The 18,540-nt window shown below is 39.2% G+C and overlaps 1 long non-coding RNA gene and 1 pseudogene across 1 annotated transcript, besides 1 other annotated feature; one reads left to right on the top strand and one right to left on the bottom strand.

Moving 5' to 3' along the window:
- Positions 1,999-2,168: an enhancer, noted in NCBI's record as "active region_2026". NCBI's record gives its function as "activates an Ori minimal core promoter by ATAC-STARR-seq in GM12878 lymphoblastoid cells {active_cell/tissue: GM12878}" and the evidence as "EXISTENCE:reporter gene assay evidence [ECO:0000049][PMID:35858748]".
- LINC01675 (long intergenic non-protein coding RNA 1675) lies at positions 2,171-16,438 on the top strand. Its single transcript, NR_146890.1, has 3 exons — positions 2,171-2,349; positions 15,241-15,329; positions 16,006-16,438. It is a non-coding gene; the product is annotated as a long intergenic non-protein coding RNA 1675 (long non-coding RNA).
- Positions 10,645-17,465, bottom strand: FMO7P (flavin containing dimethylaniline monoxygenase 7, pseudogene; annotated as a pseudogene).

The raw sequence follows: 18,540 nt of genomic DNA, 5'->3' as shown, positions 1-18,540 counted from the left end.
TGTCTGGATGGAGTAGGTTCAGGTGCCAAACTCAGGTGTCCCAACCAGAAAAACAGTAAGACAATTGTTGGGACAGGAGCTGGTGTGGGTTGTTTAGCTGAAACCTCTCCTTTTTAAAGTGTTAGCACTCTCAGAACTTCTTCCTCATTTCCTGGCACACAGGACAACCTTCCTCCCACCTGTCTCACATTATGATCTTGTCAGTGTCTCTTATTTTCTTCTCTCAACCCAACTGGAATTCTCCTTGGCTATTTCTCTCTCTAGCCAACCCAAGGCTAATAAGAGTTGTCTGCATATATATTTTTAATTATCTTGATGTGCTCCTTGGTACTGCTCCGGCTTAAAGTGCACTGGCTATTCCGTCTGTCTGGAATGCTCTTTCAATGATGTGGACATAGCTGACTCTGACTTCTCAATAAGGCCCACACTGACCACATTATTTAAAATTGCAACTCATGCCTGGTGACCCTAATCCTCAGTAGCAGCTTGCTCTACATTTTCCTCTCCCTAGTATTTATTATCTTCTAACATCCTATATAATGTACTTATCTGTTATGTTTGTTACTTATTATTTGACTTCCCCTGCCAGACATTGACAATGTTCTCTGCCTATGTTGTTCACAAATGTATCCATAAAGAATAGTGCTTTGCCAAGGGTAAATTCTCAATAAATATTTGTTGAAATTGAATTGAAGTGAGTTGAATTGAATTGAGTCGAATTGAATTGGATTTTATTGAATGAAAAGACTGTCACTCTCACATTTTTACTTACAGGCACATCCAAAACCTTCTATTTTCTACTGGATCATTTCCATCAGTAGACAAACATGCTTTTATTTCTCTCATCAAAAACAAAAAGCTAAATACATTTTTTGACCTCCATTGTTTTCTGATCAACTCACCTCCCAATTTCTCTGCTCCTGTTTTAGCTAAACTCCTTGAAATAACTGCTGGTGCTCATAGTTGTCTCTAATTCTCTCCTTCTCTCACCATTGTATTCAGTAGGCTTTTGTTCTCCCTTCTCCACATAAATGACTCTTGTCAAGAGCATCAAGAACATCCTCACTGCTAAGTCTACACCCAGATCCCAGCCATCCTCTTTTTTTTTTTTCCTATCAGCAATGTTTGTCTCACACCATTGGTAAATGGCTCCCCTTGGCGTACTTTCTTTGCGCACTTCCAGGACACCACATTTTCCTGACTCTCTTACCTCCTTGTCTGTTTGTTCTCACTCTCCTTGGTTCTGCATTTCCCAGTCTCTAAATGTTGGAGAGCCCCACTGCTAAGCCCTTTGGCCTTCTTCTCACCCCTTGGTGATAGTAACCAGTCTTAAACCAGGCTTTAAGATCTTTCCTATGCTGACGACATCTACACTAATAACTCTCGTCCAGTTCTCTGCCATGTATATGGATTTATATACTAGACCTTTAAATGTGTTATTTCAAACTTAACAGTCAAAACGGAGCTCCTGATCTTCCCTCCCAAGGGAGGAACTGTCTCCAGTCTCAATTCCTAACAGCTGCTCAGGCCAAAGCCTTGGAATTATCCTTAATTCCTGTTTCTCTCATATCTCACATCCAGTCTATCGGCAAATCTTCCCAGCTGTTCCACAAATATGCGGCATCTGACCACTTCTCAACCCCCACTGCCACCACCCTGCCCAAGCCCCATCTTCTCTCTCCTGAATTAGCACAACAGTCTCATTACTGGGCCTATTGCTTTCACCCTTTGTGAGGGACTAAGTGGCTAAGTTGGCTGGACTTCCTGGGCCAATAGGAACTTCCCTAAGGGGACTTTCCCCTAAGCCAAAATGAGTCACAGCTGCAAGCTAAGGGATTGAAACCTCAACCAATCATATAGGGAGTTTAAGCTCTAGCTGCAGCCTGATGTTTTTAACCAATCAGGCCCGTCAACCCACAAGCGGATTGAAAATAAGCTAGTTATGTAGGACAGAAAAAGGAAAAGACGAGGGGTCATAAGGGGACATAAGCATAAGACAGAAGCAAAAAAACGGCAGCCCTTCCAGGTCCCCTTCCACCACGTGGAAGCTTTACTTTTGCTTTCATTTTACTTTCGCTTTTGCTCTAATAAATCTTGCCACCGCACCCTCTTTGGGTCCGCGGGTTTCTCTAATCTAGCTGTAACACTCGCCACTGCGGCCCACGGCTTCATTCCTGGAAGCCCGTGAGACCAGGAACCCTTCGATCGAGAAAAGACCTTCCATTGGGAGAAGACTTCTCGTCTTATTTCCACCTATAATCTCTTCAAAACATAGCAGTCAGAGTTACCTGCTGAACTCATAAGTCACTCATCTGCTCAAAGCCTCCCAGTGGCTTCTCATCTCACAGAGTAAGTCAGGCTGCTTACAGTGGCCCACGAGGAGCTTCACAGTTTAACTGGCTCTCTAGCTCTCTCTTGCTCTCTCTCTCTCTCTCTCTCAATGACCTCACCCTTCACTTCTTCCCCTTGCACACACTGAACATGCCACACCTCAGACATGCCAGGCACACTCCTGACTCAGGGCTTTTGCCCTTGCTTTTCCCTGGACCTAGGCATCCTTCCCCTAAATAGTGCCAATGCACCCTCTCTACCTTCAAGTCTTTGCTCTTTCTCAAATGCCACTTTCCAAGTCCCTTTCTGGCCCCCTGCTCTTCCTCTTTCTTATTACGCCCTTTTCTTTCCCATGTCACAATCTCTTCTAACTATATAATTGTCTATTTTACTTTATATAAACCTCTTTCGCCAGAATCTGTAAGCTCCAGAAACATAAGGGCTTTTGTTGGTTTTGTGTATTTCCCTATTCCTAGATCCTAGAACAGGGCCTGGCACATGATATAGGCTCAATAAATATTAGTGGTATAGATGAAATTATTAATTCTATGGACCTTCATCCTTCATTGAGAAACAGTGGTTACAGGGAGGGAAGGGGGAAAGAATTGGCTTAAGACCTAAATGATTTACATTTACTCCCTTCAAATGTAAACAACTGCTGACCATATGAATATTCTTGGACAAATCTCTTTATCTCTCTGGGCTTCAGTTCTCTTATGTGTATAAATAATGGGTTAAACTAAGTAGTCTCCATAAACATTCTTACTTTAGTATTCTTTAATTCTCTAAACCTCTTGTCCCTGCACTGTCTCTGGGATTTACTCTCTATCTCTCTCCCTTTTAAATGTTCTTTATCCATTCATCAATTCTATAAGCAATAATTGAGCATATTCAATGGGCCAATCCCTGGTCTGAGCCCTGAGGATATACGGTTGAATAAAATAAGAATTTCCACGGGGGAGAAGGTAAGTGAAGAAAGGCAGCTCATATACTTCAACAAGGTGGTCACTGTTGTCCTATGGAGGCCAGAGCCTTGAGTGTATGTTGGGTGCCGGTGGGAGATGGTGGGGAAGTTGGAAGAGGATGGGGCTGGGCTTCACTCATGGCTGCATAATGCACAGGAAATCCAGAAGCTGACCCTCTATAATAAAGAAGGCTATTGATTTTAGCAGTTTTCTGGTATCAGAGTTCTGGTTTTGTGGCTGTAGTATTTGTAGTAGTGGCAAAACGCTAGCCCATCTCTGCTACAAAACATACAGAGAAGATGAGGCTTCTACAAAAGGCTTAGCTCATTACAGTTGGGGTCAACCTGTCTTTCTGGCTTGATGCCTACCTGAGTGAGCAAGCAAAAAAGATTGCTGGCTGAAGCACTCTCTACCCTGCTCACCCAAGGGCCACCTTAGGACAGCTTCTGACTGATGTTTGGAGAATTTCCCAGGAAGCTAACTTGAGGCAAGGGGAGGACATGAGAAATGGAAGACAACAAATTAAACATTGCCCATCCCTTCTGAAACATACAAAGCCTTCGGAACACCCTCCATTTGCAGAAGATTTATTTCTCGAATTATATATTTAAGGGCCTGAGTCAGTCAATTATCTACCTTCACAGACCTATCTTGCTGCATAAACAGATTTCCATTTCCTGATGCTGTCCTTAAATGGCAAATAGTAAAACACTGGGAGAAGGTGGCTGACATTGCTCTGTAGGTGTCTCTAAAGAGTCTAGTGTGATCTGATGCATCTCCTGGGGCAAACACAGATGCATGTGAGAAGAGAAGGTGCAGAAGGGCTCAGCATATATGGGAGTGGACCATCACCTCTCACTCCAAATCCTGGAGCTGCTTTCTGCTGTCCTTTCTTTTTATGCCAATGATGTAGCCAAAACTGCCTGCATTGTTGTCACTTCAGATTTTGGACTCTTGTAGGGATGTTCTAACATACTCCAGTCCTTGCTTTTGTGGCTTTTCCCTCAGTCATCCAGTCAACAAACCTTTACTGTGAGCCTAGTATAGGCTGCTCTCCAGGCATTGCTAAAGGAACAAATATTAACCTGGCACCGTCCAAACCCAACAAACTCAATACTCTAGCTGGGAGACAAGCATTAAGCAATAATTACAATGCAGTATGTTATAGGCAGTAACATAAATACGTTTAAGAAATGTAAGTGTCACAAGAAATAAAAATGTATAACTTCAAGAGAGGCAGGAACAGAGAAGATTCTCAAAAGAGATGTTATCTGAGCTAGGTTTCTAAGAATCAATAGAAATTTATCACATGGATAAGAGTCAGAACAACTGAGGAATCTGCACATGCACAGGCACAGAAGTGAGCCGCAGTAGACCCATGTGCAGGGAACCACAGGTCCTTAAAGCATTCTCAGAGTGCAGCACAAAAGCCAAGGTACTGAGAGAAGACAGGTTCCCAGGGGTCTGCTGGCGAAGGTGGTATTTGTCATAAGGAAGACTTTTCTTACTGACATGAAGCATCACTGGAGGCTTTCAAACAAGACAGTGCCATGGTCAGGTTGGGGTTTTAGAAATATCACCCTATAAATAGTGGAGAAAAGATCAAGCAGTAAACGTGATCAGAATGAAAGGGGGTAAGTGACAAGTGAAGGTAAGGGCGTGCAAAGATGGAGGAGGCAGACAACACTGGCATTTAGGAGGCAGAGATACAGAGCTCAGGGACTGCTGGATTGCTTGGTTGTGGAAGAAAGGGAGAATGAAGCAACAAGCTGGGTGGCAGGCTCTGATTTGGTGGCTGGCTCAGTGGTGACCCCTCCAACCTCCAGGCCTCTGTTTGGACACATGTGACAACAATGGCCACCCTGTTGGAGTGTATGAACTGCCTTTCTTCACTCACATTCCTCTCTCCAGTTCTGAGGTCAGGGGTCTTATCTTATTCAACAAGTGTCCTGCCCTGTGTTTGGCTTACAGAATATGCTCAATTATTGCTTTTAGAATTGGTGAATGAATAAAGGAAGTCTAAAAGGGAGAGAGAGAGTAAAACCTGGAGACAGTGCAGGGACATGAAGTTTAGAGCATTAAAGAATGTTAAAGTAAAAACATTCATGGAGATTATTTAGTTCAACCTGGTAATTATACAGATGAAGAAACTGAGGCCCAGAGCACTAAGATATTTGTCCAACGTCACACACCTGAGATAATAAGACAGAGTAATGGGCAAGTTGGGGATGGAGAGATGATGAATTCAGTTTGGATGCCATTACATTTGTGATGCTTGTGGTGGTAAATGCAGATTATCATATCCAATGTGCTGTTGGAATGTGATGTTCAAGAGAAGGGTCAAGTCTAGACATACAAATTTGGGATACAGATCATACTAAGACCATACCTCATGAGAACAGGCTGAGTCAGGAGCCAGGAGGGCCACAAGGGGAGCTCTAGTAATCTCAGAGATGGCATAACATGGTAGGAAGCAGCACACCAAATTGATCGGCCTTCCTGTGCCTCAGTTTCCCCAATCTATTTTCTAAGGTTGTCATGTGTTATATAAAATGAATGTATATTTATAAGACAGCAGTGCCTGGCATGAACTAAGGTCTAAGTAAGTGTGAAAATGAATATATAAACACTAATATTTGATGGTGGACAGAGGAAAAAGACTCAGAAAATCAGTAAACTAGGTATGACAAGAATGGTAGGAGGAAATCAGGCAACTATGGGAACATCAATGACCAAGGAAGAGACAGTGTAAAGAAGGCAGGAGCAATTATGTGGCAGATGCTAAAGAAAGACTAAAATCAGAAAGTGCCTATTGGCTTTGGCAGTTGAAAGTTCACTGGTGATTTTAGAGCCTCGTTGGTGGGTGCTCAGGGGGAAGAGGGGTGGGCTGAAAAGTGAGTTAGGGGCAAGAAGTGGGAGGGCTGATGTGGGCAGTTGGCTCAGGGTGAGGCTGGCAAAGTGGAGGAACCCTGAGCTGTTGAACTCCTTTCTAGTGAGGCTCTGCAACAAGTCTCACCTACAACACAGGCCGAGTCTCTTCCCCATCCCAAAGTCATCATCTGTAAAATGAAGGCAAACTTGACCTCCACATTCCTATCAGCTATGATGGTTGAATACTTTTCTTGTTACTAACATATGATGGTGATCAAATTCTTTTTCACTTAGAAATGTACCTGAGTCAGCTAGTGGCATTCTTGTTAAAATCTTGTTTTGAGTTTATGGAAATAGATGCTATGAGGGCTGGTTTATTTTTAAATTTATGTAGTGTTTTCAATGTACAATTTTGCACTTGATCCTTAGGCATGCACGTTGTTGGTATTGTCACTTTATCTGTGAAGCCGACTTCAAACAATAGGGTAATTTTTCTCAAAGTCACAAGAGAAGTAACCCAAGAATTGAAGCCAGGACTTCTGGCAGGCAAATCCTGTGCCTGAGAGCTGCTGGGAGTACCTGGGGCAGGTGGCACAAAACTACTTAAGAACTGGGCCTCTAAAGAACAATTGTTTTTGTTTATGAAAAATGCCTTTCAGCACAAAATATCTTTGATATATTTATCAAAATAATAGGTTTTTCTGCCACATCCTCTTCTCCTGCAGTAGGATATAAGATTTCTCATTTGGAGAAATAGGCTTTTAAAATAAATATTTTGGTTTCTCCTGCAGTGATAGGGTGTTTAACAATATGATCATTTATATTTTATTAGACTGATGTGGCTTTGTATTCACCTAGACAATTTCAAAGCACTTTTGCATACATTATTCATCTGATTCTCCTCGCCACTCTTTGAGAATGGTAAAACAGGAATGACTAGCTTCATTTTAGACATAAGAATCTGGTGTTAGAAAGATTACGTGACCAATGCAGGCTCGCTCAGAATTGCTCAGGAGCACCATTTACACACTGAGTTTCCTCATCTCGAAGCTGGAGATAATTTCAAGCTTGGGGAATCATTGTGCAGCTGCCGATCAGATAGGGTCAGTAGGTCTCTAGTCTATAATTGGCACTCGTAAATTAGTGAGCATTAGGAGAAAAAAGTGCCCCACCTCTCTATCCAGTCCTCATCTTTATTGTCAGGATGTTGGTGGTGGTGTCACTGAAACTTAAGGGAAAACTGAAAATAATTCATAAGATGGGAGAGAAAGAGAAAGGAAAGAACAGGAGAAGGAAAAGAGAAGAAACCTTAGCAGTAGTTAAACATTTCACAAATGGTGGCTTTGGCTGTTTCCAATGTTTGTGTAAAGTGCTGACTTCATCATTCTATAAGTGTTTTATGGAATAATATTTAAAAAGCCCTTTGAGTGCCTTTGAAAACAGTGTTAGATAAATATAAAATACTGGGTGCATAAAAGTGGAAGACAACCTCAGATATATAGTCTATGTGTGAAAAGAAATAAAATTATTCATCAAAAAATAATCACTGTAAAGTGAAGAAAGCAGAGTTTTTTTTTTTCCCCTTGGCAGAGTAACCAGCCTGGGTTTCATAAGGATTAATGTGGTATAAACATATTTATCACTAATAAAAGAGTCTATAGAAATACTGCGGCTCTTCTTCAGCATGAGGATGAAACACTGCTAATTTAATCTCAGCAAGAACAATTCATCTGTCTTTGGGGCACAAACTTGTATAGTAAGTAAAAAAATTCTATGATCAAGTAATTTATTTTATCAGGGTGTCAGGTTTAGAGTGTGACCTGATTTAATCTCAGAAAGATATCTTTTTGGATGTGGTTCCAGAATATTCTGGGTATTATCTTTTAAACTAATTAGCACCATAATTTCAAAGGACGACAAAATAAAGAGAAAAGCATGAATATCTTTTCTTAATTTCATTAGTACTAAAATTCTTGCACCAATTTCAAGAAAAGGGTAAGTTTGACTGTAAATGCCTTACTGCAAAACTGAAAGAAAAACATTTATTTATTTTCTTTAGCCCAAGAAAGTACTTTTGAAAAAGAAAAAACGCTATATGTATAAAAAGATCAAATAATGAACAATTAATAAGTAGTTGAATGTTAATATGGTAGGCTGTTTTATAACTATTAAAATTATAAATATGCTGTCCATGAAAAAGCTGGGGAAATGTTTATAATATAATATTTTGAAAAGTGTACAACAAAGAAAAGTATATTATATACTATTATTATGTCCACGTAAAAACTCTATGTCTATATGGACAAAGTGTGGATGGGAACATGAAGAAACAGAAACCATTGGTTGTGTCGGTATATCAGTCAGGATAAGCTAGGTTATGCTATGGTAACAAACAATACCTATATATCAGTGACTCACAACAAAAGCTCATGCTACCCGATCAGACTCTGCTCATTGTAATCATTTTGGTACTCCGGCTGAAGAAGGTTCCATCTTTACACATCCTTCCTTAATTGTCTCAATGTTGGCAGAGGAAAGATATGGTTGGTACTATATCTAAAAGATTGTACATGGAAGTGAAATATGTCACTTCTACTTACATTTATTTGGCCAAAGCAAGTCACATTGGCATGTCAACTCCAAAGGGGACAGGGAAGCTAAATCCTACTAGGTGATCAGAAACAGAACCAGATATATTTGAATGACACTAACACGCTCAATAAGATTGATAAAATTACAGATGCTTTTTCAAATCTTTTATAATGTTAAAATATATTTTTATTATTATTACCTCAGATTCCACTTGTGAGCCAGAAATTGGGACTTGATGATGTATATGATACTAATCTTTCAAAGAAAGGCTTTTAACTGAAAATTCTTTAACATGCATATTCTTTTATTCAAATAGTTTAAATGGATCAAGATGATAAACATTTTCACATTAGGAAATACAGTTTGATTGAAAAATATTTCTGGCTTCACTCATTGTAATATGCAATTTGTAAATTACATTAAGGAAACAACTTGCAAGAAGGCATTCTGTTATAAATATTTATAAATGTAGTTAGAAAAATACGTCTTTTGCCTATGTACAATAGAACAATTTGCTTGCTTCAGCAAGCAATCAGCAATAAAGAAAAACATGTCACATTGGTAGGGTTTTAAATATTTCAGTTTATAAACTCCTGAAAAACATCAGTTGAGCACGAATGGAAGACAGTATGATGTACAGCAAAGGACACTGGCTTTGGCATCTGGTAGGTTCAAATGCTGAACCACATTTATTACACTACCTGGGGCAATCAGGCTAACTTCCTCCACACAGTTCCCAGCACACAGTAAGCACTCATATTTGTTTCATAAGTGAATTTCTTCTTTATTTCTATCATTTCTGCATTATGAAAAAAGTTTTCTCTTGGCTTGTAAGATAGTCAAATTATACCTGAATATAAAAACCAAGGGCAGAGTAAGTGTCTGCAATAAGGAGTTTTGTATTCTTTCTTTTTTTTTTTTTTTTTTTTTTTAGCATTCCTGAAAACTGCCTTCCTGACATTAGAAGTTCTATCTAAAATCTGACTTATGGATTTGACCACACACCCCTAAGCCCATAAATTCAGTAATTGCCTGTGGTGAAGGACCCTACTTTTCCCTGTGGCCTCTATTCTCTGGACCATGTCAGCCATCCTCTCCATGGAGGACCGGACTGTGTTCAGTCCTATGAAGGCAAACACAGGATAAGGAAAGGTTTAGGAAAGGCCAAGGAGTATAGTTCCAGGAAAGTAAAAGCGTGGGAGTGCGAGTTCTGAGCTTCTCCAAAGCTAATTGAAAGGACCTAAAAGAAGAGTTCTAGAAAGAAAATGAAGACCTGACTTTTTTCTTTCCCTGTTAGCAATATAAATGGGAGTTTTTATTCCTATATTTTTAAAGAGAATTGCTGAGAATGGCATGTTTTTCCTTCTCTGGCTCCTCAATTACTGTCTGTTCCACAAAATAGATAAAAAGAAAAAGAATGAAGGAGAAATCTCATCCCCAAAATAATTTTAGTACAAGTTCTAAATGGAACCCAGGGCCCTGGAGTGATGCTGATGCTGGCGGCTGATTCTGGACTATCCTGGTTTTGTGCTGTGGGAGAGCCCAGAAAGTGTGTACCAGGATGGGGGATTCTCTCAGTTTTGTAAAAATTGTTATGAATGAGTTTCCCACCCTTGATAACAATTTTTTAGGCTTTTCGGGCCTTTCTAAATTCTCCAAAAATAATTTTAAAAAAGGAAGATGTGTCCCTGTTATTGCCTTTAAGCTAAATAAAATTTATCTGGATAAAAAAATTATTTTAAACAAAGTTAGTGAACAGTAATTTCGGTTGTAATTGACCCATTCTTTCATTTAAACTGACTCAATTTTAATGCTCCTTTGGTTCAAGGTGGCTGGCTGTAGCAAAAAGGAAGCCACAAGAATTCATTCCTTTTAACTGTGTTACCTTTTAACACTCAGGTGGCCCAGAGAGTTTGGAATTTCCTTGTTGGCATTACAGCTCCCGATGGCTGCATTAACAACAACAACCAAAGTCACTTTTTCCACATGAAGTGGGAATACCTAATTGTATAGGAATATCTGGTTATCAGTGATATTCACAGAATCTTCAAAGAAAGGAAATGAGAAGGTGTGTTATTTGGCAAAGATGACATCAACATTCTCCACAGTGCTACGGTGTTAAAAAGTGGCAGCTATTTCCGTGAATTCTTTCACATTGGGTTTGATCATTATTCTGACAGAAATGGATGTTTTGGGAAGGTTGTCGCTAAGCTCTCACTGTCATTGAGAGTTGAGAAATCTTCAAAACTGGGGAAGATGGCTCATATTAGTATTTGTCTCACTTCATTTACTTATCCATTTATTCATTCTGGAAAATGTTATTGAATACTCTTTTTTCCCCTTCTGTTTCTACAGATGTATTAAAAAATGGTCTCTAGGAAAGATTTGGACTCCAGGGTTCTCCTTTTCCTCCTCCTTTCCTCTTCCTTCACTCTCCCTATATGAGGTTGATCTCATACTAAGAAAAGTAAAAAGCCAGGAAGGCAAAGCTCTGGTCTTCCACTGGAAACATCTTCACCTGTCTTTCCACGGTAGGGCCTTAAGCACAGCCTGTCTACACTAGCACAAGACAGAGGCACCTATAAAAGCTGGCTCTGGGGACTCATTCTCAGCTCTGATCTAGCATTTATCACAACCCCTGGTTCTCTTTGTTCTGAGATATTTAGCTGAATTTCACATAGTGGTGATGATTGGCACACAATCATATAGCATATAGCAAAGTCTCATTTGTCTGGCACTGTCATATTATCAGGATGTTGAGGAAACTTACATTTATACAGTTAAGAAAATACTTCTTTTACAATTTCTTTACTTTTTCACTTTGTTTTGATTAAAATATTTCTAAAATTGATTAAGCTCTTGTCTCATTTCTTAAACAGTGTGCAACGAACATAACTTAACCTTTTTTATTGCTTATTCTGATCATTAAGCACCTTAATTACTGCTCAAATGCTATAATGCAGTTTTAATGACTCCTCCCTGTGTTGTTCATTATTATAGCTCTTGTCACTGAATCTGCAGCCAGCAGTATTTCCCTTCTCACTTGTGGTTCTGGCCTGTCAAACCAGACAACCCATGGTTAGAATTATCTGTAAAGTAAGGGCCAATAAATACTGAGTGGTGGCGGGTGCCTGTAGTCCCAGCTACTCGGGAGGCTGAGGCAGGAGAATGGCGTGAACCCGGGAGGCGGAGCTTGCAGTGAGCGGAGCTGAGATCACGCCACTGCACTCCAGCCTGGGCAACAGAGAGACTCCGTCTCAAAAAAAAAAGACTTGGAAAACTAACACTTTACAATCTTTGGTGGTGTGACTATGTACTTTTCCTGCTAATCTATAGGCTTCACAAGATCAAGTACTTTGTCCTTTACCTATCTAAACCCCAGCAGTGCCTGGTGCTCCTGGGCTCTCTCACCTTCTTGATCTTCTAAACTCTGCCAGTCTTCAGTCCTTAATTAGCATAACCATTTCCAAGCTGGGGATCCTAAATCTTAAATTTGCAAAGGGCTGGGATCAGCTTCCCTCACTTTTACTTCTCAATTCACTCTCTAGTATCCTCATCCAATTTCATGCTTAAGCAATTTGCTTCTGTGTGAATGAACCCTAAATAAATATCTCTACACAAACCATTTAAATTAATCCCTATGCATTTCCTTTGTCAAGTCAGTGATCATTGCTTACATCTGTAAAAAGAAAAAAAAAGTTGATTATTTCTTTTATTCTTAGGTTGAAATGTAAGCAAATCTTCTAGGAAGGAGATGTCGATTTTAGTACGAGCCTTTTAAGTAATTTCCTGCCTTCCTTTACACTAACTATTAATGTCTTGGACCCTCAGTTTTCTTGGCTGTAAAATATGGGGGTTGAACTAAATAATTTCTTCAGCAATGCCAAGCTTTAAGATGCTATAATATTTTATTGATTACAGGAATTTAACCTCATTTAATTGGCTCAAAGAACTACTATCAGAATTTCTTTAAAATAATATTGTTTTATTTGTCGTATTTTTCAGACTTTTTTTGCTCTTTACATTGGATATTTTTAGTGATAAAATATTTTACACATGCAAAAAAGTAAAGAGAATCATACAACAGACACTTGTATCATGTATGATAATGTACCTGGCACACAGTAGGTGAATAATAAGTACTCTTGAAAGAATGATCTGGACCATCAGAGATAACTACAGTTGCTATAAAATAGCTGTGATTTTCCCAGAATGGCCAGCAGAGGGCGGACTTGCACATTGACAAAACTGACCCTTGGTTTAGGTAAATTACCTTGGTGTCTTAGCTCCCCTGGTACAAATTAATTATTGTGAAATTGTTTAGCACATAGCCAACAGCTGATCTATCTACCCCTTGTTAACCACATTAAATGAACACAACTACTGTTCACAGATTGTTCAGAGACTTCAAAGTCAGTGCATTGTCAAATAACAGTTTGGAAAATTTGCAGTATTTAAACCGCCTATCTAGATCACTCTAAATCTCCCCAAATCTTCTTTGCCAGTTGTAGCTATATTTCTAAACCTTGTCATTAGGAGTAGCAGAGTGATGGTCTGAATTAATTATCAAAGTTGCTGAATATTTTGTTTCACTAGTTAAGTATTGTAATCTCACTCTCGATCTGTTAACAAAATATATATAACCCCCTCACCCCCCCGCCACACACATGCATATCCATTCTTTATGCCCAGAGGAAGCCACTGTTAACGGTTACTTGAATCTTTTTTGAAATTGCATATGCACATATAACCATAGATATATAGGTTTTTTTTTTTTTAACCATAAATGGGATCACAAATGCCTGGAGTCCTATAATGTAATTTTTTTTAATAACCATGTAATCATCTACAATATATCTGTGTTAACTAGTAGAGATCTTGGCAGAGAGCAAACGACCTGAATATTTCTGATCTGATTACTGGGAATCCATTTGGCCCAGCCAACACACTTAATCCTTTGTTGTCTCTTGTGTGTAGATAAGGTGTTTTCAGTGGGAAGCCATAAAAATAACCCCTGAATCTTGGTTATCCTATACTTTGTGCCTCTCCATGCAGGTGGAGGATTACCACAACAACAAGATGCAGCTGTAAGAAAATAGGCTTGCTTTGCAGTGTGGCTGAGCACCACAGCCAGATCAGAGCCAGAATTTCCAATGCCAGTCATGAGGATTCTGTTTCCCATAAATCCCTCTAAATTTTATATTTCTCACTGTGGAAATATTTGCCTTTGAATTTCTCAATCTCTATTTAAGGAAAATAAATGGAAAATAATTGTTTAGATTCAAGAAATGCAAAGGTTACTTTAGCTTTTGCATTGCATTTGTGCAGTCTAACAGTAAACCCATTTTATAACTAGAATTTATATATAGTACCATGTTCAACTTCTTTTACTACTGGTCCTTCTGTGTCAGAGATCCATAATCCGTGGGCCATGGACTGGTACTGGTCTGTGGCCTGTTAGGAACTGGGCTGCACAGCAGGAGGTGAGCGGTGGACTAGCAAGCAAAGCTTCATCTGTATTTGCAGCCACTGCCCATTGCTTGCATTACTGCCTGAGTTTTGCCTCCTGTCAGATCAGTGGTGGCATTGGATTCTCACAGGAGTGCAAACGCTATTGTGGACTGCACATGTGAAGGATCTAGGTTGCATGCTCCTTATGAGAATCTAATATCTAATGATCTGTTACTGTCTCCTATCCCTTGAGATGGGACCATCTAGTTTCAGGAAAACAAGCTCAGGGCTCCCACTGATTCTACATGATGGTGAATTGGATAATCATTTCATTATATATTACAATGTAATAATAATAGAAATAGAGTGCACAATAAGTGTAATGCATTTGAATCTTCCCCAAATCATCCCCACCCCACCCCACTCTGTGGAAAAATTGTCTTCCACAAAACTCTTCCCTGGTGCCAAAAAGATTGGAGACCACTGCTCTATGTTACACCAACATTAACTGATACTAACAGAAATCTTATTTACCATAGTAAACACATGAAGTTATTTTATATACATTTTCACAGAGCAAGTTCATTTTGGTAATACCCAAATCCATACAGCATACTATGTTTTTTCTATCATTATCATCATGGACTCTCAAAATTGGAAAATGAGTCCATCTGGTCCAATTTTACATCATATATTAGCAGAGACTTGCTATGCAAAATTAACCCACAGACCGGCAGTAGCAGCAGCAGCAGCACCAGAGAACTTAGGCAAAGGCAAATTCAATTCAGAGGACCCACTCCACACATGTTGAATTGGAATTTTGGGGAGTTGGAACTAATAATCTGATTTAACAAGGACTTTGGGTGATTCTTGCCATACTAAAGTTTGAGAACCATTGATCTATAAACTCCTCATTAATGATCATTAGTTTCTGCTTAAATATTTCCTTAATTAGGAAATCTACTACTTCACAAGGCAGACCGTTTCATTTTAGATCATTACTTCTTGTTGGAAATCCCTTCTTATTTAGATCCAAGTCGACCTTCCTGGAGCCTCTATCCACTACTTGTTTTGCTCAACAAGAACACACATCGTGTTGACTCCATCTTTTATATGATGGTGAGTTGTGGTCAAACACAGCTATCCTGCTCCTCTTCCTCCCTCCGTGAGTGTCCTCCTCCCCCAGTGAATGTCCCTCTCAGGTTAAATAACTTTAGTGGTTTTTAAATGTTCACCAAGCTGCATTTATCTCTTTAATATTCTTATTGTTCTCCTTTAATGAAGTTCCCTTTTGTCACCATTCCTTCAAAGTGAAACACTTCAAAGAGTACAATAAAAAATAAATAAATAAATTTTTAAAAATAAATTTAAAATGAGAACAGAACATAATCCTTTAAGTGTAGTCTGACAACACTTAGAGGGGGGTAAAACAGATAGATACCTTTGTTGAAAAGTAAGTGCTATTTTTGGTTTGGGCTTGGACATTCTGATTCTAACAGGCTTTTTCCTTTATAAAACTGAAATCTCTACAGAAGTCAGGTTTTCTTCTAAAAGGGGTTATTTATTTGGGTTAGTGACTTATTGTTTGACATTGTCAAGATAATTTTAAATTTGTTTTACTTAACCACAGACTGTTATAAAGGAGAGGCATTTCCTTTGCTTTGCATAAATCATCCCTCCACCATTAGGATTCCCCAAGATAGGAAAGTTACATACCTAGGTAAATGAGGGTCAGTCTGATGACCACTGCAGCCCATAACTGTGCCAGAGACAGATGACCTTTGCTTCCCCTCAGCCTCACCACAATGTTCCATTGGCCAGTGCAAGAGAAACCAGGATGCTTCCTCATACTGCACATCTTTATCTGAGAACCAAAGGACAAATATGGGTGTCACATGCCAGCTCCTTCTACCTCCTTCTGAAACCAGAGGACTGGATTGGAACCAACAGAGATCATGCTGTTTACTTCACAGATTTCAAGAAAAGTGAATTCTGAGTAATCATTTTTTTTTAGATCTTCCTATGTGTAAAAATCTTTGGTGAGATTTACCATCTCATTTAAAGTTCTTTCACAATTTTTGTGAAAATTGAGTGATGTGTAATAAATAAGTTATTTTTTTTCTTTATAGCTGATGCTTGACCTTTTTTCCCTTGGTAATATAGCTTACGAAGCAGATATATATGCCAATACACCCTTGATTTTAAGTCTTTCAAATAGAAGAACATAGGGATAAACTGACACATGAGAGATGGATAAATGTACGGACACATACATGTTCAACAGTTGTTGTTTTGGGGATTATGCCACAGAGTCATCAAATGCTGTCTAACACTAAATTAGATTTTCCTGTGAGGTTGTAAGCAACCTGTTGTGGGAAGTAATCAAGCAGGGACTAGATATCCATCTATCAGAAAAAATGAATTTCTAGAGAGATATGGCATAGCCTTTCCAAATTTAAGGTTCCATGAGTGTAGAGAAATGAGGATAATGACTGTTAATGGTTAGTGTTTACCTTAGGAAAGCCACCAATCTAAGTATTCTATCTGCACTAACTCATTTAATCCAGAAAGAGATGGCTCCGAAAAGGGAATTTTAACAATACTCTGCCTTTCTGCAAAGAAAATGCCAAGTGAGAAAGTTGTATTGTTGATATACACACATATTCACAAAAGACCGCTATATAGGGAATAAGCTTTTGCAAATAAACACACTATTGCCTCTAAATCAGTGAGCAGTATTTCTAAACCAGGAGATTTAATCTTCTGAAATTTCATGAAAAATATTGTATTTATGTGCCCATTTCTGGAGAAAGGTGACAATTGCCCTCATCAGCTTTGCGCTCAAAGGTCAAAATAATAATAATTATAAAAAACTTTAAAGCTTACCCAGAAACAGATGTATTTCACAAGGTCAATGTATTATATATTTCAAAATAACTAAAGAATATGATTTTAAATGTTCTCACCACAAAGAAATGATAAATATTTGAGGTGATAGACACACTTATTCGCCTGATTTGATCATTCCACAATTTATGAGTGTATTGAAACATCATATTGTGACCCAAATATGTATAGAATAATTGTTTATCAATTCAAAATAAAACTGTTTTTAAAAGTGCTTGGCATATATCCTCAAATGCTGCAGGAGCTATGGGTTTTACATGTTATTTGGAAAGTGATGGAGTATGAGAAGTCACTGAAGCAGGTCATTTACTTCTAAGTGTTGATGGTCAAAGATTGGTAGATGCTGGGCTTTCCTTCTTCTGTCTGCCCATGTACTTGGCCTAGCTTCACTATTTGGGACTTGCATTCTCTGAACAAGTGACTGTTCTTCAGTGAGCTGTCAGGAAAATGGGGTTGCAGTAATACTGGCTCTATCTACTTTTTGTAAGGACCACATTGAAAGTAAAAAGCTTAGTAAAATGCTAGGAAGACAGCTAAGCATTGAACAAATATGATTCCTTTGGGGATTTATCTATGTACAATTTCAAAAATAGAGGCAATATGAGCAAGTTCAGAGGCAAAGCACAGAATAGCTTGGCATCTAACTAGAAGCACTTCCTGTAACCTGCTGCCATATTTCAAGGTGCCCACCCACCCATGCTTCCTTCTGGGGAATTCCTGTACAGATCCCCTAGTGTCCTAAGCAGCTGTGCTCTGGCCAGTGCATTTTTTTCCCAGCTCTTGTCTCAGCTGAGTACTGGTGGTGAGCTCCTGATATGGTTTGGCTGTGTCCCCACCAAAATCTCATCATGAATTCCCACATGTCGTGGAAGGGACTTGGTGGGAGGTAATTGAATCATGGGGGCAGATCTTCCCGTACTGTTCTCTTGATAGTGAATAAGTTTCATGAGATTTTTCCCTGCACAAGCTCTCTCTTTGCCTGCTGCCATCCATGTGAGATATGCCTTTCACCTTCCACCATGATTGTGAGGCCTCCCCAGCCATGTGGAACTGTAAGCCCAATAAACCTCTTTCTTTTGTAAATTGCCCAGTCTCAGGTATGTCTTTATCAGCAGTGTGAAAATGGACTAACAGAGTAAATTGGTACCAGTAGAGTGGGGTGCTACTGAAAAGATACCCAAAAATGTGGAAGCGACTTTGGAACTAAGTAACAGGCAGAGGTTGGAACAGTTTGGAGGGCTCAGAAGAAGGCAAAAAATGTAGGAAAGTTTCGAACTCCCTAGAGACTTGTTGAATGGCTTTGACCAAAATACTGATAATGATACAGACAATGAAATCCAGGCTGAGGTGGTCTCAGATGGAGATGAAGAACTTGTCGGGAACTGGAGTAAAGGTGACTCTTGCTATGTTTTAGCAAAGAGAC

The sequence above is a fragment of the Homo sapiens genome, chromosome 1 (genome assembly GCF_000001405.40).
Source record: "Homo sapiens chromosome 1, GRCh38.p14 Primary Assembly".
Lineage (NCBI taxonomy): Eukaryota > Metazoa > Chordata > Mammalia > Primates > Hominidae > Homo > Homo sapiens.
Note: the sequence above shows the minus strand (reverse complement) of the source record. Positions and strands in the feature narration are given on the sequence as shown.